We start from the raw sequence: 20,053 nt of genomic DNA, 5'->3' as shown, positions 1-20,053 counted from the left end.
GACCCTGGGGGGGTATCTGGGTGTTAGGGCAGGTCAGCAGGACGAAGGTCTACTGGAGGAGCAAGAGGGAACAAAAGAAGCAGTAGGAGAGAGACAGGGAGGTTCCAATTCTGCTGCCCTCATGCAGGGCCCCTGACTCCTCTGAGTCTCATCTTTTCCACATTTAACAGTAAAAACAGCCTACCTTGGGGGTTAAGATCATGCATGTAGAGCTCCAGCACTTCGTAAGTGCTGAATAAATGCCCAGTGTTATAAGGAACGTCTTTTCATTGGTCTCCAATAACTGCGCTGCCAAATTTGGCTCTGGGTGTAAAAAAGTTCCCTGACTGAAGCCTGATAGGGGCCAACTTGCCATGCCACCAGCCTCACATCCCGCCCATCTCTCTTCCCCAGGCATGGATTTAGGACAGAGCCCCAGAGAGTATTGACCCAGCCAGAGCAGTTCTTGGTGTCTTGCCTTATCAAATAGTCTGAAGAATAAAACTCTCAGAGGTCATCTTTACTGTGAAATTCTAAAATCATATTTATTCACCAATTCACAGAAAGTGTCATAACGACCACCAACATGAATCAGTTTGTAGGCATTTACAAGCCACAGCTGAAAATAAAAATCTGTCTGTGTTGAATAGGCATTTAACAAATTACTTGAAAACTGCAAGAATCATAATTATTATAAATTTAAAGTTTGTGATTCAAACATGGGTAAGATCACAGTCATGGGGAGAAGCCCAACAGATTCCTGTGATGATCCTTATTTTCTTCCTATATCTTTATATACATAGAGACTCTCAGCGCCCCTCACTCTGTGTCAGTCTGAATTGGATATGACAGCTCAGTTAGGCCTGAGAGAGGATTCTATGAAAAGGAGTGGGGAGGGGAAAGGACATTTTCTCTGACCCTCTGTGGCTGGGCAACCTTGTTGACTGAGAAGACAGTGCGCTCTTCTGAAATTAGATTCAATTTTCTATAAATTCATACAGTCCTTCTAATGAGATACTCCAAAGTCTGCATTGTTTCACACTCATACACAATAGTATATTTATCAAATAAACACATTTTCTAGACTAAAAAGATTCATTCTTTGAGGCAGCTTGAAGAGCTCAGAAGTCTGATACATGTCAGGTACACACTGGTCCACCGCTGGAGGCAAAGCCATCCACTGTGGGAGACACCGGCCAGACTGGCAGTAATGGCCCAGACAGTAGCAGTGATTGAAGGTGATTCTGCAAGACGAGGCTGCTCCCCCTCCTCTCTCTGCTGTGTCAACACCACAGAGACTCTGGAGGAGAGAAAACATACCTCTCTCTTTCAGGCCTTTCCCACACACACTGAGGTTGAGAAGCTGGGAATAAACAGCGTCCAACACTTTTAAATGGCGGTGGCAGCTCCAGACAAGGGAGAAGGGAAGGACTGAGAGAAGAAATTATTAGACTTTTTAGACTGGCTGAACCCAGAACCTTTACATTGGTTACAAAATCATGCCTGGAGGTGAAAAATTCAATAGCATTATACCAAGTGTTTGGGCAACGGTGTAGAGACAATAGTAGAGACAAGCTACAGCTTTAGACAGTGGTAGAGAGAAGCTACAACTTTAGCTTGTAGAAACAGCTGTTGGGTGTTCAGCAGATGCAGTCTAGGTGCATGCAAACCCACTGTGTGCAGCATGCCTTCACTCTCACGACAAGGGAGCCAGACCTTGTGTCTGCGGCTGGCTGAATATTGCATGGAATCTGTGGATTCACAGAGGCTTCTCCTCAGCTAAGAGGGAGTGTGGCTGGATGCATTTCTCTGTGGCTCATTCAATTTGGGGTATACTCATACTACTGAGTCTCTATGAAGGAGTGATAAGCTGGGTCTTCAATTTCCAAATGTTTACCAAACTCCTACTATGTGCCAAGCACTATTCCCACTGCTTTGAGAGCTAACGGTAAACAACAACAGTGAAAAAACATGTAACATCCCAACCAGTGCTTCTAAGGATTTAAAATATGCTGGTACTTATGACTTTATTCTTACTTCTGTATTATAGATATGTATATGGCTTTGGGGTATGTGTATATGTACACATATATGCACACATATACACACACACACATATATATAATCAGCTGTCCATAGCCTACTCATCTCTGATAATTTATATTTTGTACTCAAATTTCTCGAATACCCCTACCAAATCATTCTCTCCTCCTTACCAATATTATAATGTCCCTGACAATAACATAACAAACCCAGCTCTAACACCTACAGATTTCTTTGAGAACAAACAACTTCTACATGCAATTTCTTTTCTATACTCACCAACTGGTTTTCTTCAACCTCCTGCCCACCCTGTCCAGCTCAGGACATCAACAACCCTTTATGGAAACCACCGAGGTCAGACTGGATGCAGTCAGTTGGATTGATTCATCATGACTAGTTCAATTAAGAGCTGATCACCTTCAAACAGCTCTGACTTTGGAAGCAATTGATTTGACTGCCTCTTTGGTCACATGGCCAGATTTACCCATAATTTTTTGCAAACTTGGATGCATCTTTAGATACAGAGCAATGCTTTGGCATCTGGGGGAGGGGGTTGTTCCTGGTGCTGTCACTTGTACCCACTCTCCTGTTTCCTCTCCAACTATGAGTCACATTTTCCCTCAATATCTCCTATCTTACTTTTTGAGTGATCAGCCCTGACTTTCAAGTCTAAATTTCTCCTCCACGCCAAAAACAAAACAAAAACAGAAAAACAAAAAAAGCTTTTTGCTGTATCACACCACCTAAAGTTTGGCTAGTGAACATGAGCAGACCTCTTCTGAATCCCACACATCAGCCATGCTCTTGCAGCCATGTAGAGGAGCTGGAGGTGGGTGGGCGTGGGCTCCAGATGTGAGTGTTCTATATTGGCCAGGATGGATGCACTTTTGCCACCAAGGGTGGATGAGCCTTTATATTAACATCCATGACCCACAGGCACAAGCAAGGCCCTCCTCACAGAGGCCCTTATGAATCCTTCTGAAGAGGAGATGCTACCTCCTCATCCCTTTGCCTGCCTTCTCTGCAGAGGTGCTGGAGTCTGCAGCTGAGACCTGTGGGTTGATTCTCTCTGCACACAAAATGTGGGCTCATTTCTCTGGTAGCTCCTCCTGCCGGGGAAAAGGACCCTCAATACGTGTGTGGGTGTCCCATTTCTGTTCTGAAATGTGCAGTAAAAAGGGTCCAGGTAACAGAGATGCATTTTCATTTCAAGATAAAAGCAAACAGACATTAAAGCTAACACGTTTCTGTTGTCTGTGATTAATACACACTGTCTGCATTTTGGCTCTTCTCAAGTCTGTTGCCCTCTTTTCATTAGTCTACTGGGAATTGAACTTCATGTTGATGAATCTGCTCTGCAGTAAATCTGATGAAAGGAACTGGAGAGCAGCACAAGGCTGGGTCATTAACAAATTAGGGTTTTCTCTCCTCAGTTGGGATGCTGCCCATGACCTCGACGGTGGAGCAAGCAGGCCTCACCCAGGCACATCTACCCCTGCTCCTTGCTTAGGGGCTCCATTTACTGACTATAGCTAGGAAGGGGTAGTCCCCAAACAACCCCACTCCTGTTTTCTCCCACGTGCATCACAAATGTTGTCCTCTGTTCACTGCACTTCCACCCTCGTCGATCTGATTTTACAAAGGACCTTGACTCACAAACCGAGAAGGAAGTTGGAGGAGGCTTTCTCCACTGGGGGGTCTTAATTCTTCAAACCCAGTCCCTTCACTGAGGTCAAGTGATCTCTGGGATTCAATTCAATTCAACATTTGTGGCACACATGTCATGGGCCAGGTGCAGTGCTAGGCTCCCGTGGTGCCACAATAGCTAAGTCGGTAGTCTTCTTACCTTAAGGAGGTGGCCATATCAGCAGAGGCAGCAATAGTTGGAGATCTATACTAGTCTCACATGGCCACGTTTTCCAAGGTCCTGGCCAGGCACCACATCATTCAACTGCATGTTCTCATGGGGGCGGGGTCCTGCCTCTGGGGAGGTGTTGCCTCAATGGTCCAGAGGTACCAGCTCCCTTCTGTTCCCCAGAAACAGGGGTGTCTTTGGGCCATTCAGGAGGACTCTGAAAAGACTGCTGAGGCTGTGAGCAGGAGAGAATCTGGGTTCTTCAGAACTCAACAGATGGTGCTAGTTTTCCTAGGCTACATGTCTAGTCCCTTTCCTAGACTGCTACTCTTCTGTCCTTCCACCCCAAAGCCCAGGGCCCTGGCCCTCTGACTCTCCATCTCAAAACCCCTTGTATGAGGAGACTGTACCTCGTAGGAGGAGTCAGTTAGGTGTACACGACTGACAAAGTACCAGCAAGTTCCTTTCAAAGGTCTGTGGACCTTCACAGAGTTTAAGCTATAAATCAATAGTTGCTGGGCCTCAGGGGAAAGGAGAATTGGTGAATCCTGGCAGCCTCACAGACTTTAGAAATCAGAAGGCCCAGACAGATTCTAATTGTAAATGAGGCTGTAGGTTTGTTTTTGGATTTTTGTTTTCTACTTTTAGTAACATCCAGAATGAGTTACTGCCCTTCCAAGGAAGGCCATCCATTCCCCAAGCAATTCAGTGTTTGAATTGTGATGCTGCATGCCCCAGTCTCATTACAAACAAACAGAGCAGTGCTGCGGCAACCTGGCAACGTCCTTAAATGACCCCCTCCACACTCTGCCAGGCCCTGGGTGTCTCCACCAGCATACAGGCTGTGTAGAAAGCAGCTCTCCTAGTGACCAGGGTCACTGCTGCAGTTTCAGTGTTTCTCCACAAAATATGGCCCTCGAAGAGGCTGCTCAGCTTACAGAAACCTGGCAGGTGGCCTTCCTGGGGATGAGTGACCTCATGGCAGCCTCTCCTGGGCAGTCTCTCTCTCTAGGATAGAAGGGGCAGGCAGGCAGGAATTGTCTCATGCCCAAGGGCAGGTGAAGGATGCGGACTAGGACCAAGGTTCCTTGAAACCACTGCTTCAGTGAGTATAAACTGGAGCCAAAAAGGCCCAGGATGGGGGCTGGGGGTGGTTTGCTTTGGCACCCTCACTGCACTAGTCATTGATTTTACCTTGTTAGTTAATAGTCAGTTCTTCCCGATGCCAGCTCAAGTCATCTCCTCATCCTCTGCATCAGTGGTTCTCAAACTTTAGTGTGTGTCAGAAAGCTCATTAAATCACAGACTGCCTGCCTCCAGAGCTTCTCATTCAGTAGGTCTGGGGTGGGGCCCAAGAATATGCACTTCTCACATGTTCCCAGGTGATGCAGCTGGCCCAGGGAACCACTGCTCCTCAGCACCAAATGTAAGCCCTCAGCAGGTCTCGTGGAGGTGGGCCCTCCTTAGATCTTCAGCTCTGATGTTGGGCCTCAGGAGGGCTCCCTTGCATCAGTCTGGCTTGTGCCTTTTGAGACTTGGCTCCTGCTGGCCCCTCTACCTGCATCACCCTTCCTAAATTTCCAGGTCCACCTGGCTGCTGTTTATATTTAAGGACTGCTTCTGTCTTATTTTCTCTGAATGTCAGCTGTCAACCATGTTATTTCTGCCCAGTGGGCAGGGTAACTGGCTTTCATCCATAAGTGAACTGAGTCAGCCTTGATTGGAATTGAGGAATATTCAGGGAAATATTGCCTACTTCCCTGGAGAGCTCCTCAGTCTGCCTCAGTGATGCATATCAGGGCCCCTAGAATTACACCTGTCATCTGACTTAGGGTGGGTAGCTGTCAAAGCAAGTTACCCTGCCTCCCTAACACTAAACTTCTGTCCCCAAAGTCCTGACTGCTCGTGCACAGCTTCCAACACCACAAAGGGACATCCCAACAGCTCACAGGCCAAGAGCTCCTCATGGTCAGGGAAACATGCCTTGTTCATCCTCCCTTCCCCTGTTGCTGGCACAGGGCCTGACCCATCACAAGTGCCCAGTGAAGGTCTGCTGAATTACACTGAACATAGCTGCAAACACAGACTCCCATCTGTTTACTACCTGCATACAGGGAATATCTGTCAGCTTTCTGGGGTGCTGCTGGAGGTAACTTCTTCTGTCTCTTTTTGTCTCCCTGGGATGGAATGAAGCCTGGCTCTTAATCCACAGCCCCTGTAAAGCCAACTCTCCTTTTCCAGTTGGCACTAAAGGGAAAACTAGAGCATTATCTACATAGCAGGTATAGAATACATCTATAAAGTAAAGGAAATAAAGACAGGAAATGAGGGTACTGGGGTAGACTTCAAAACTTTCATTGCTCATTTCTTTTGCCTGCAGCTGGACAATGGAAAGTGGTTATGTGAAAATTAAATTGTGCCAAGGGCTTTTGCTTGTCAGCCTCAATAAATGTCTCATATAGATGCAGAATCCTGTACCATTCATAGCCTGCCAGAGTACATTGCAGAAGGCTTTGGGGATCCCCCAGAGGCCTAAACGTTATCTTACCTAAAAATCATCTACTTTTCACTGGCAAATACTTTCAAAGAATTAAACCCACTTACCTACTTTTTTGTAAAAACTATTTGGTTAATTTAAATGTGGGGATGATTAAAAAAAAAGTTGTCTTTTTTTCTTCTTGCTGATATTGAGCCATAGAGCCAAGAAGATTGCTAATTTCGAAGTGTGCTTGGTCGGGCTTTCTACTGATGATGTTGCTATTGATTCAAACAGTCACAAGTCTTTAGGATCATTTTTAGAGCAATGGCAAGAGTAGGGCTGAAATGAAAATCAGTCTGAGATAATGAACACTCCTGCTCAGAGATCATTATGGGCTGAGCTGTGCTGGGAAGGCACTGAGCCTTGGGGGGCTAACACTTGCCTCAGTGGAGTTAGCACTCAGTAACCAGGCAATCACCTCGATCCAAGGCTTTCAACTCTCGTGGAATATCTGTCAGTTTGTCAGTTCAGCAAATAACAAGTGTTTTGTTTGTTTCTTTTTTGTTTTCCCCCGGAACATGGACTTTTAAAACAGCTTAATTAAAAACTATGGCACTTTTTCCTGTTGTTCAGTTTGGAGGCAAAGACTACTGGGTAGTTGGTGAGAGGCTTATGAGAGCAGCTTGCTTTCTCCTGAGGTGGAAGGCTAACTTCCATGGTGTATGGTACGGGTTGCCAAACTTTGGCCTTGGGCCAAATCTAGCTGGCTGCTAATTTTCGTATGGCCTGTGGGCTGAGGAAGGTTTTTATATTTTTAAATTATTAAAAATGTAAATCAAAAGGGTAAAAAAAGATATGAAAATTACATAAATCCAAACTGCCTGCTTTTTTAGTGTTTTTAAATTGTTTTATGGAAACTAGATAAAGTTGTATTGAAACATTCATTTGTTGTACGTATTGTCTGTTTTCATGCTACAATAGGAGAGCTGAGTACAGTCATCCCTCAGTATCTGTAGGGGATTGGTTCCAGAACTCCCCTCGGACACCAAAATCCACAGATGTTCAATTCCTTTATATAAAATGCATAGTATTTGCATATAGCCTATGCACAACTTCCTGTGTTCTTCAAATCATCTCTAGGTTACTTATAATACCTAATACAGTGTAAATGCTATGTAAATCCTGTTAAACTGTATTGTTCAAGGAATAATAATGAAAAAAAGAATATGTTCAGGTCAGTTGCAACTATACATTTTTTCCCAAATATTTTTGATTCAAGGTTGGTTGAATCCATGGATTTGGAAACCTCAGATATGGAGGGCTGACTATTCTGTGACAGGTACCAAATGGCTCACAAAGCCCAAAATATTTACTATTTGCCTCTTTACAGATAGTTTGCTGACACCTGACATATAGGAATGGGGGACATTGCTTCTCACCACCCCCAGCTCTCTCACTGGATGGTCCATGTATACAAAGTAGAGCCCTTATTAAATGCAAAGATGTTGGTCTAAACCCTGCTTGATAGGATGATTGAGTAAATTCAAGAAAGTGGTAATGAGGGCTGGGTGCGGTGGCTCACTCCTATAATCTCATTACCTTGGAGGCCAAGGTGGGCAGATCACCTGAGATCAGGAGTTTGAGACCAGCCTGGCCAACACGGTGAAGCCCTGTCTCTACTAAAAATACAAAAATTAGCTGGGCATGGTGGTGGATGCCTGTAATCCCAGCTACTCGGGAGTCTGAGGCAGGAAACTCGCTTGAACCCGGGAGGTGGAGGTTGCAGTGAGCTGAGATTGTGCCACTGCACTCCAGCCTGGGTGACAGAGCAGCAAGACTCTGGCTCAAAAAACAAACAACAACAAAAGAAAGCGGCAATGAAAAGAGATTTCACTGAAATCACATTTTTGGTATCTAGATGAATTTGGGCCTTGGCTGTGCTTACAGCATTTGATCAAATGTATGATGATATATGTTTAGTATTTTTTAAGGCAGGCTACCAACTAGCCGGTTGCTTTACTCCACTGAAGCAACTCATTCTGCACTGGGATTTAAGCATTTCAATCTTCTCCTCCAACTTCTCCTCCATGTCATCTGAATCACCTGAGAGTTGTAGCCTATTTTCAAGCTCAGGAAGGCAGAATCTGGTTGTCCACTTGGCAAGACAAGCAATGAACTGGGCTGTGGCCAAACCAGTCAGCAGTTCCTCCTGGACATGAGCCTGCATCTGCCTGGCTGCCAACATCTCAGTTAGAGGTCATAGGGTGTCTAGGCCTTCAGGGGTTTTGGTTCCTGGATGCCAGCATATGGAGGGTGGAAAATGCCAGACTGATTAATGACACCTTTTTCTTGGGATCAGAATATCTGGGGGAGGGCAAGCCACATTACCCTGCTCACCTGGATACCTCCCAAAGCTTCTGTTACTGGGATATAACCACTCCCGTCTTGTTCTCATCCATGGTGAGGAAGAGGGTGTTGCGAAGATGACCAATGCCTGCCAACCCAGCGGATTCATTCAAGTGCCTGATCTTTGTAGCTGACATGCAGAGAATGACCTCTTATAGCCAGAGTTGAGGGAAACAGCTCTGATTTGTTGTCACCACTGTTTCTCTGCAAATGAGTCCACCAACCAAATGCTTCCTCAAATTATTCATCTTTGCTGCCCTAGCCATGGGCCACCTTTACCTGCTACCCCCCCTACCAAAAAAACCCCAACACATATAAAGATTTTACCTAACAGCTCTCTCAACTATGAATAAGGCAGCCACCCAGAGAGCATGAGGAACACCTTCCCTACCCAACCAGATCGAAAAGACTGAGCAAAGAGAAAAGTGTTCTCACAAACACCAGACTTAAATATTTAAAATCAAAATCTAATTCAAAAAGAATGGGTTTTAAGCATATGAAGTGTTCTTTTTGCTGCCACAATTTTGGGAGAATTCAGTTGCTCCTAAATGCCCAACTAAAGATCTTTTTTTTATTTAAATGGGATTGTGAAAACTAATCAGTCCTATAGACTTTCCTCTTGTGGATGTACAGACACAGCCTAATAGAAAAGGGCTATTTGGTTGGGAGAATTCCCAGGAGAAATATCTGTTTCCATCCAATGAATATAAAACCCCAGCTTCTTCTGGTGTTTTTCCCTGAGAAGGGAAAAATAAGAGCACTGGTTAAGTTTGTGACCGCATCCTTCTTCTCTTGTGACTTCTCTTCCTCTTCATTTGTCTCTTGTGTAATTTCTAGGCCTGTTTATTTCCCGTCTGCAAATATAATGTAGGGAAGGAGCTTATCTTATTCAGCTTTTCTTTTTCTCACAGCTATTGGTAGGATGCTTAGCACATAGTAGGTTTGCAGCAGTGTCTGTTAGGTGCATACCTATGAACATAAGTAGAATCCTGCACCAGGAGTGGAAGTTGGGGAGACTGGTCTTGTCTATACTTTTGAATGACTCTGAACAAGACATTGAATCACGAAGCCTCAGTTTACTCATCACAAAAATGTATCTAACAACAGATGTCTCAGTTACTTCACAGGATTTGTTGTGAGGTCCAAAGGAAGGAACAGATGCAGAAAACACTTTAGGAGGTGGGAAAAGCTTCACAAGGTTGTTCTCATGAATCAGAAAGTTGAAAAGACCTGCCATGGGTCCTCCCTGGGTGGAGGTCAGACTAGAGGACATTGGCAGTAGTCCCCTTCTTAAGCTGTTTTGATGACACAAAGAAAAGGCTGAGATTCTGAACTATTTTTTTTTAACATAAATGCCACTTAACTAGGGACCAGCTCTGTGCCTGTGCCAAACCAATTGGTGTGAGCTTGAGGAGGAGTGAAGGATGGGGACAGAGCATACACATTGATGACAAAGAGGAATCAGACATTCGAAACAAACATGTTCTCAGAGCTTCGTGGAAATTCTGTCAAGGCCCTAATTCTTGCCTGCTATTCTCTTGGCCACAAAAGATCACAGACCAGTTACTATAGAAACAATTCTCTTCACAGGTTGTGCATGTTAGGATGGAGATGGAAAAGATTTCCTTATCAAAAAAAGAAAGAAATTAGGTTTTCAGATATATTTGCCCTCTATCTAAAGTGTTCCTCCTTTTATGAGCAGAAGAAAGAAGAAGCTGCAATGATTGCAAATATGCTTCTAATTCCTTGCAGTTAAATTTCAAACTTTCATTGTAGACTTGGTGGAGCTCGTGCGTTTCTAATACATGCAGAAAGCGTGTATTTTCTCAAGAGGGAAGATAGGAGATAAGGGACCATAAGGCTGAGTGGTGAGAGCCTTGCCAACCTCAGGGTCCCCTCTGTCCTGGGGGAGCCCAGCCACCCCCACTCCACCCACCATGAAGCCTACGTTTGACCTCATTAGCATTTCCATCTGCTTTCTGGCTCTAGGCTTGTTGTGACTGTCCTTGTTGTGTGTTGTGTTGTGTCCTTGTTGTCCTTGTTGTGACTGTCCTTGTTGTGTTGTCCTGGGGCAGTGCCTGTGTGGAATGCCTCCTGGGCCCTGTGGTTCTGTTTGCTGAGTGCCCCTGGCAGGGTAGCTGCATGGTTGCAGCAGGTGCCCAGACAGGCAGGCTCAGATAGCTCTGATGGGGGATCAGACCCTGCTTGTGGCCAAGGACCTATTCTTGGTTTGGGACTTTTCTTATAAGCTTATATGGCCTCAGAAAGAAGCAAGGGGAAAGGCTCTCCAAGCTGGGGAACTAGATAGACAGAGAGAGAGAGAGAGAGAGAATGTGTGTACCTTTCCCTGTAAACTTAGTTCTGCCTCAACAAGGACTTTCCTTTAAACTGTTAAGCACTAAGACCTTACGTGTGTGAAGTTCAACCACCCTCCTTGTATGAAGCAACCTGGAGTCAGCATAGGAGAACCTACTGGTCTGTGTGGAGGAGACGCACAGTGAGTTGGAACCCCAGGGCCTTGGGGACTCTGAGCCTGGGGAGGTGAGTGACACAAAGGTGGGCCTTCTTCCCTGCAGGAAAAAACAAAGGCAAACTCTGCAGACAGGTAGTCAGGATGCTGGGGAACTTAGGGCAGAAGTGGAGGCTACAGGACAAAGTCTACCCTGAAGTCCTCACTGATGGCCATGCTGGGCTTCTTGGAACTTCCCCATGGATGAAACACAGGGAGTGCCCAAGGCTTAAAGGGTGGGCTCCAGGAAGCTGGAGAAGGCCTTCCCAGACATGTCACAGACATCAGAGGTGAGGTATGATAGACATGGGCATACACTGGGTCAGGGTTTACAAAAGGGACATGTGGGCCAGGCAGCAGACCCCTGGGCACTAGTAGGGGAGGGTGGAGTCATCCCACTCCAGCTGGGCTTGCCTGGCTCCATTCTGCCCATGTCTGCCTCTGCCCATCCCTTCCTCCTCCTCCTCCTCTTCGCTGTCGTCAGAGCCACTGCTGGAGCTCATTTCTTCCTCGGCTTCTTCCTCCTCTTCTCCCTCAGTCTCATCTTCCCCATGCCCTGGTCCTTCATGTTTCTGGATATCAAGGAGAAAAAGCAAATGCTCATCAGGGGCTGAACAGAGGCCATTTTGGAGCTTATGTCTCTCCATCCATTAAGGAAACATTTACGGCCCCTTGGAATTTCTTCTTTTAGTGCAAAACTCTTCAGCCTGGAGACAGACTTCCTGGAAGGGAAGTCTTCTGGTAAAAAGGAAGCTAGAAGGTTCAAGGCAAAAGCCTGAAATAGCAAATTCCAAGGCATGAACTCAAGGTAGACTGTTGGGTATAAATGATGGGCTGGACATTTTAGCCAATCCTATCCATCATTTACTGAACCTTTCAGGCCAAGGCTTGTTTTCAGGCATTTCTGGAGCTTATTTAAATGGAGCTGTCCAAGCCTTAGTGTTTGCTTCTCAGTGAGAGGATGACATTTGATCTTGTGTCTCTTTTCCAAGTGTGCATGCAATGTCCCTGGGAGCAGAAGGCATTCTAAGCAAAGACTCAGGTATGCTTCCCCTCAAAAATATTCCTTTGGAAAGGACAAATTTATTGGTCCTCACTTTCCATGCTTGCTGCTCACCCCCTGACTTGTGTCCTCAGGCTGTACCCCTTCCTTTCCAGTCCAATTCCCCCTCCCTCCAGCTTTTGGATAATTCCAGCAAAATTTCATTTCTGGATTTATGTTCTGCATTGATGAACCAGGTCATAAAAGTTGTTTCTCCTTGCTTGGCTACCCAACCCCTCCCCTTACACTTCTTAGGAATTGTCTTTTACCTCCTACCTTCTACCTTACCCCAAATCCTACCCACTCTTCAAGGTCTCCCCTAGGCCAACCTCCTCCAAGGAATCTTCCCTGATTGTTGCAGTCCTGAAGGCTTTTCCTCCTCAAGGTCATTGACTTTTGACATCACAAGGTTGGCCCTTGTTAGGCACACTCTTGCCTTGTCCTCACACTGCTCCAGGTATAGTGGTCTTGTTTTCTACACTCAAGGCTCAGCTCTTTGAAGGTGGAAATTCTGGAGTCTGTATAGCACTGAGCTCAGCATTTTACCTACAGCACATGCTTGGAGGAACTGAGCCACATCAGCACACTGGCTTTGGAATTGGAGTGTGAGGCTAGCCGAGGTGGAAACTGGGGACCAGGCTGGGGTAATCATCTTCCCCTACCTTTTCTAAGCCTGTGTCTATCATCAACCAGAACCCATGGGCAAAGGGCATGATGTAGAGGGCTTCCTTTGACACTCATGGATAGATTCTGGGGGCTGTTGGCTAACTGGAAAGATACAGACTTCAGAATCAGATAACCTTAAATTTGACTATTGGCTGTGTTAATTTGAGTATGTTACTTCTTTTCTTAGTTGGTTTCCACCTTGGTAAATGAAGATGATAACTCCTATTTTATTGGCTGTTGGAAGATTAAATGAGGTGGTGTATATAGAGCACTCTATACAGTATCTGGCATAATGGGGGCTCAATAAATGGCAGGCGTTGCTGCTATATTTTTCTTTTAATCTGTTCCAAGCCTTTGAGTGAACTCTTCAGGCAGTGTAGAGCAAAGCCATCTAATTTGCACTGTTAGTTACTCAAAACTTCAATACTGAGTCCCTAAGTGTTAGTTAGCTCTGAGCTAAATACTATGGGGGAAGCAAGGCTTAGCCACCTCGTGGTGTTTGCTTGCTTTAACAAAATTTCTGGTTCTGTTTGTGGGGTAAGAGCAATTAATACATTTTAAATCAGAGAATGTAGTTGGTGGGAAGGTATGATCTGTTCAGGCTGAGAGGGCTAGAGGAGCTCAGAGACAGGAAGAATCAGTGGAGCTGGACTAGATGGGGCAGGGCTTCCAGAAGGAGGGGGTATGGGGCTGCTTTAGGCATAGGAAGGGTTGAGCTGGGTAGAGGGAGAAGCACCCCACCCAGAACTCCCAGCCGTGCATGAGGATCACCTCCATGGGGTTGACTGTGATAGTCAGCGCAGAATCGTCCCAGTCCATCTCAGATTCCTTGGCAGCCTCAGTCTCCTGGATGAAGTGCTGGTGGGCGATCCGGACCCGGTACACACCCATGGCCACGACAAACACAAGCATGCACACGGAGATGATGATGACCACTGTGGCAATGCTTGGGACCACTGGAACAAGGAAAAAACTCGCATGACATGGTGAACAAAGGCCTAGCTCATTCTTGTGAGGGAGCATGAATGAAACATCCGTGCATAGGATAAAGTCTGCCCTACCACTTCCCAGCTGTAGAACTCTAGAGCAGTACCTTACCCTGTCTGGGCTTCACTTTCATCACCTCTATAATGGACATAATAATTCCTATCCTATGAGTAATAGTTAGGTGTAAATTAAATAATCTGTGAGTTTCCACATAGGCACAGTATAGGTGTTCATTAAATGCAAATTCTCTTTTATTCCTGGCTTTACCCCTCAAATTATAAAGAAACTTCCACAGAGCCAAGCACTGTAGAGTTTAGTAGAAACAGATACAAGTGCCCACCAGATGGTAACACAATATGGCAAGTGCTCAAATAGAAATTTGGGCAGAGGACGTTGCAATATGGTGTGTACGTGTGTGTGAGTGTGTGTAGAGGGCTCATGGAAAGCTTCATACATGACATTGTTTTGAGTTGGGCCTGAAATTTTGTCCCAGCCCTTTGTACTGACCTCTGCTATTATGTGTGTTGCGTAATTTCTTGTTTACTTATCGACTGCCTATTGAGGGTGTGAGTATCTCAAAGCCAGGGCACATTTTCTCCATTGCTGGGTTCCCTCCCTCAGTTCTGGGCACCTACGTTTGCTACAACATAACCGTCTGTTGAGTAGATAATCTTGAGTCACAATGACGACCTGTGTCCTGAGGGTCCCTCCTCTTGGGCACCCTACCTGAACTGTGCTGGATGCTACTCCGGGACTCAGGATGATGGACAGACTGGAGGAAGGGAGGCTGCACAATCAGATGATTGACATGCTCCTTATCTGAGACTTGGTCTTCATGAAGGATGCTGACCTGGGAAGAGTGGGGAGAGGTGCTATTGACCCAGGAGTGGCAGGTGGGCCAGTTACAGCATTTCTGAATGAATGAGGGAATGGGTGAGCCTTGGCTTCCCTAACAATGGCAGGACCCACTCACCTCCAAGTTGAACTCATTGCTAGTGTAGCGCCCATTGAGTTCTGAGCACTTAATCCGGAAACGCCGGGCCTCAAGGGAAGCCGGACGCCAGTTGCGGTAGCGGATGTGATGTAGCACCTGCTCATAGCGGCTCATGGAGCCCACACCTGTGCCAAGAGACCACACCTGTCATCAGAAGGCAGAAAAGGAGGAGGAAGAGAAGAGAGGAGACAAGCCAGGGCTTGTGGTACAAGACCTCATGGGTCTTGTAAATTTGTTGAGGGTAAGAGCTCAAGATATTTTGGGCAGACAATGTGCAGAAGTTCTAAGGAGCCAAAATTACATTGATGCACAAGCTTTCCATACAGACTGCCTTAATCTTCCAGATGTTTCTGTGACATTTGTTGAGATCAAACATTGTAAGAGAAGGCATCCACCTAGCTTCTACAAAAGAACTCCCCAGGAGTGGGAATGTGGGACTGGTCCCCAAGATGCTGGAGTAACTTGCCAAAGGAGGGTCTAGAAATCCATGCTTGAGGCCAAGGATCTCCAACTGGTCCCTGGGGCTTCACAGTGCTCCTTCACAGGTGCAATCTCACTCATGTCTCCCTGGACAAGGACATTCTAAGAGGACACCCTTGGGGCAAAGGGGGCTGAGTGTGGCCTTACCGTAGATGGAGTAGCCTGCAGTAGAATTAGTGGCATCCAGGTGTCGTTGGTGGAGCTCACTGTGGTTGAGCTCCAAGCACTCCTGCCTTGGGTCCAAGTCCCCTCCGATCACCAAAATGTCACAGAAATCTAAGTTATGAAGCATTTCCTCTAAGACTTCTGATTTGGGGTCTGTAGGAAGACAGACATGGGAAATGCAGGCATGAAGGACAGCTCAGAAAACAGCCCTTGCTAATCACCTTCCTCCTCTGTTATTGCACCCCAGGTTAAGGCTGGGTCAGGAGCAGAGTCTGTGTGATCCCAAATACCACATCCACCGCTCAGATGTCCAGGCATCCCTGAGGATGAATTAGTGGGATGAATTAGTAGCATGAATTAGTGGGAACAGCAGGAATACTGTAGCCAAAAGGTGTGATTTGAATACCAGCTCTGCCACTGAGAAGCTGCATAGTGTTAGAGGAACTACCTACCACTCAGTTTCCTCATCTATAAGGCAGGCAAGGGTCTTGGGATGGTTGAAAACAGTGTCCAGTGCACATTGTAGGTGCTCAATAAGCAATAGCTCTCATTTGGGTAGAGGTAAGTGGCCTTCCACCATGCTCTCATAGCTTTCTCCATGTGATCGTAGTCTCCCTGACCACCTGAGATCCTGAAGGGCAGAAGCACTATCTTTTTATGATTGAATCCTTAATGTCTAACCCAGGAGCTAGCATGGAATTGTTATTAATAAACCTTGCTCAAATGGAGCTGAATCATTAATAATCAAGTCAATATGATATAACCAATAATCAATATTTGATAAATTAATATAATTAATGTACTCCCAGGGGAGCACATTAGCAAGTTGGTCAGTCAAGTTGTCCTTGCCTAATTGTATGACTCCAAATTTCCCAAAGAAATGTCTGAGTATTTGAATGCTGGGCAGAGTTCGGCAGTCCTAAATTAAAATCCCATCTTAAGAAGGCGACTGGTATTTATGAAGTATGTGCTATGTGCCAGTCATGTGCAAATATAATCCTAATAGACATTAAAAGGGGGTACTATTACTATCCCCATCTCACTGATGATAGGCTAGTTGTCTTCAAGTGGCTTTGATCTTGCACTCCTTTATTGAAAAACTTGTGAAGAGAGATAATTTAAATAAGTATATTTATTTATTTATAAAGTGTACTAAATATACTTTGTGTGTTATAAAACATTTATTAAAACAGAAATTTAAAAAATTCACTAAAGATGGATTATTTTAAATAATTATCTTTTAAGTTTTTAAATGATATCAAAAATATATTTGCTCTCACTAGGTATATATTATATATTATTATAAATAATTTCTTTATCTTAATTTTTAAATGCTTGTCAATCACAATGGTTTCGTGTATAATCAGCAAAATCTAAAAGCACAATAACATACGCTTAAGACAGGGTCTATAATTAGCAATGCTGTATGTGCATCTTTATTTCAATGGCCTTCCCACAGTTTCCAGGTTTTTTGCCGGCTTCTTGTCAGGTCTGGTCATATCGTCCTTGTTCCTACCTCCCGCTGTGGCTGACTGAGAGCTCCCTGAGGTAGGGAGTGTGTCACGGCTGCCATTTTCTCATGGTTCTCTCTCACCATGGGTATTATCTTCCATCTGCAGGTTCCTTGATTCCCACTGTGTACAAGGGAGCGTGCTGGGTTCAGGGACCCAGAGGCAAATCGGCCATGGATGAGCCCTCGGGGTCCTCCTGGTCTGGTTTAATAAACAGGAAATCACCACCAAGGGCTAAAAAATGTGTGCTGAGGGAAGCACCAGCAGTTGGAAGTGTCAGAATGGTGGTGGTGGAACAGCCTTCTTGGGGAGGTGCTGAAGGCAGGGATATTTGCCAGGAATCAAGGGATAGGGAAGGAAAGGGACCTTCCAGCCAGAGAGCAGAGCAAAGGTGTGAACTAACAGAGTGTGAGGGAGGCGTGTGTGTGTGCATGTTGGGGGAATCTCCTGTCTTTGGTATTGACAGCATAAAGAGAATGTCAATGGGGGCAGCAGATGATGCTGAAGCCGGTCACTGAGGCCTGGGGGCAAATGCCATTATCCTACTTGTTTAAGATATCCATAGTAATGACCATTCCAACAACAATAGGAGTAAAAATTTAAAGGCACTTATAATAGCGCTTGGACACTTGGCTATGTGCTCTGCCTGTACCTCTCATAAACAGAAGACGAAATGTGAACCCAGATAATTGCTCTTCCCTGCATTGCCTGTATGCTGGTGTCAGATGTAGCAAATCCAGACACTTGGTCATGGCCTGCAACCACTGAGGTCAGAGGCTCTTCTTTATTTCTCTCTGATTTTAGCCACAAATGAGAACAGGGGAAGAGGGACAATCATACAACCTAATGCATGTTGGCCTGTGACCAGGAAACTGCCCTGCCTGGACAGGTGGTAAAACATCATCTATTTTTTATGAGCTAAGAAGGGCTGTCTCTTGAGTACCCCCTTCACTAGGGACCAGGGTGGTTTAAGGCAATAGGTAATTAGGATTATTATAACAGCAGCTCCTCAGGGACTTAGGACCAGAGGCACCAGCACATCATTAGCAGTGGCTTTTGGAGGGGGAGGGGAGAGTTGAATATATTCTCTTGGAAGAGGCAGCAAAGGACACTTCTGAAATTTATATTTCCCCCGTCCCTCGGAGTAACAAAAGGGAGGTTTTCTTCCCTCCCTCCCTTGTTCCTTTCCCAGTTTCCTTCTTTCCCTTCCCCGCCCCCCTGACCCCCGCCACCAGCATATACTATAGCTTTCAGCATAACTAAGTGTTTCTCTTTGGTAGATAATTCAAATTACTCCTCTTTCACTGAAAAACCTTCCCAATAATGAAGTTGTTGGAAATAACAACTTAAAAGTTTCCTGAGAGCTTAGAGTAATATTGCTGAATGAGACCTAACTTTTATATATATAAAGATGCAGCTATATTTTTTCTTTATATATCTTTAGCTTTTCTTCTGATTACCAGAATAACACATGCCCACTATAGAACATTTTTGCAATTACAGAAAGGGAAGGGAAGCAGAAACAAACGGGCTCTCGTTATGCCTCTCAGAGAATAACCCTGTTAGCATAGGGTGTGTGTCCTTCTTGGCATTTTTCTGTGTTTTTTTTTTTTTCTTAAATGGTTGAGATCATTCTATGTGTAGGTACTATGTAACTTTGTGTCTTGCATTTTTTCACTTACCATTTAGCACAAATGCGTTCCCTCCAACCTCATATCCCTCATTGCTAAGCCATCCATTCACCTCATATTCATTTCATTTGTTTATTGCTTTGTCTGTTTTGCTATAATACATTACGCTGCCATGTATACATTTAAGCCATGTATACATTACATGAACAATGCTGTTGTTCTGAAGTATGTTTTCACATGGCTGTAAAAAATTAAGGTCCACCCTCCCCACAAACTCAAATGCACCTGTACCTGTGGTTTTCACGTCCCCGGGGGCTTCGGTTTTGGCGAAGGTGCTCACAATCTTGATATCAGGGAAGAGGGTCACTCCCCTGGCACTTTCAAACTGGGCAGCAGGTCTCCAGAAGTGGTCTGTGCCCCGGAGGGTGATCCGGGGCTCGATGGCCTGGAGGACCATCACATAGGCATCTACCTCAGGGATACTGATGCATACGTCTTCCCCAAAGCACCTGGGAAAACATTCTCGGTCATGGCACTGATGAGCAAACAATTAAACCATCTGTCATACAGCCAGGAACAAGGGGTTGCCACCTCCAGTTCTTAACAAGGCATCGTGACTGCGTAAGTGTCTCTGAGGATGTCAACAGACATTCAAATTTAAAGCCACATTATAATCAAAACCACTAGTGATCTAGGGACTTGAAAGATTGGCTCCTGAGAGAAATGGGAATTTTCTATATGAGCAACACGTAACCATGAAACCTTTCATTATCCTTTAACAAAGAAATCAATGACAACATTAATTAGATAGCAACTGCTTGTTATGTGCTTTAGTATTTGGTAAGCAAATTGTTGTCTAACTGGTTGGTTACACCCGTCTTACTAATTGAGACCCCAGGGCTAAACTCTCCTGCCTCTGCTTATACGATATATCTCTATGTGGATATCACACACGTGTGCCTTTTCTAGGTGTGAGAGCAAAGTGCTATTGTAATCATCCTCCTTTCTCCTGATACACTGCCACACAATTATCTGGGAGGCAGAAATGGTGTGACCAAAAGAGCGAGGTCTGAGACAGACAAGGATCCATGGCCTGGCTCTGACACTTCTGGGCTGGGTAAATGTGGACAAGGCACTTGACTCCTGTGAACCTCAGTTTCTTCATCTATACAGTGGAGATAACAATAATTTTGTCCTATAGTAAAGGATTAAATGCAGACATATATAGAAAAGAAGCTGACCAGAGCTTGCATCATGGTTTGAGCTCAGTAAGCACTGGTTGATTTGAACTTCTCGTCAGACCTCA

The 20,053-nt window shown here is 45.1% G+C and overlaps 1 protein-coding gene across 2 annotated transcripts in view; it reads right to left on the bottom strand.

Moving 5' to 3' along the window:
* Nucleotides 1-498: 498 nt before the first annotated feature.
* The window catches only part of CLSTN2 (calsyntenin 2), a 642,213-nt gene continuing 622,658 nt past the window's right edge, over nt 499-20,053 (bottom strand). For both annotated transcript variants that reach the window (NM_022131.3, XM_017007022.3), the window contains exons 12-17: nt 19,039-19,256; nt 15,588-15,758; nt 14,940-15,085; nt 14,693-14,816; nt 13,751-13,935; nt 499-11,843 (exon numbers count right to left, since the gene is read on the bottom strand). In NM_022131.3, coding sequence (NP_071414.2) covers nt 11,643-11,843; nt 13,751-13,935; nt 14,693-14,816; nt 14,940-15,085; nt 15,588-15,758; nt 19,039-19,256 — 1,045 coding nt within the window. In that variant the 3' untranslated portion in view covers nt 499-11,642. The remainder of the gene's footprint in view (nt 11,844-13,750; nt 13,936-14,692; nt 14,817-14,939; nt 15,086-15,587; nt 15,759-19,038; nt 19,257-20,053) is intronic.

The sequence above is a fragment of the Homo sapiens genome, chromosome 3, assembly GCF_000001405.40.
Source record: "Homo sapiens chromosome 3, GRCh38.p14 Primary Assembly".
Taxonomy (NCBI): Eukaryota; Metazoa; Chordata; class Mammalia; order Primates; family Hominidae; genus Homo; species Homo sapiens.
This window is presented reverse-complemented; position numbering and strand designations above follow the sequence as displayed.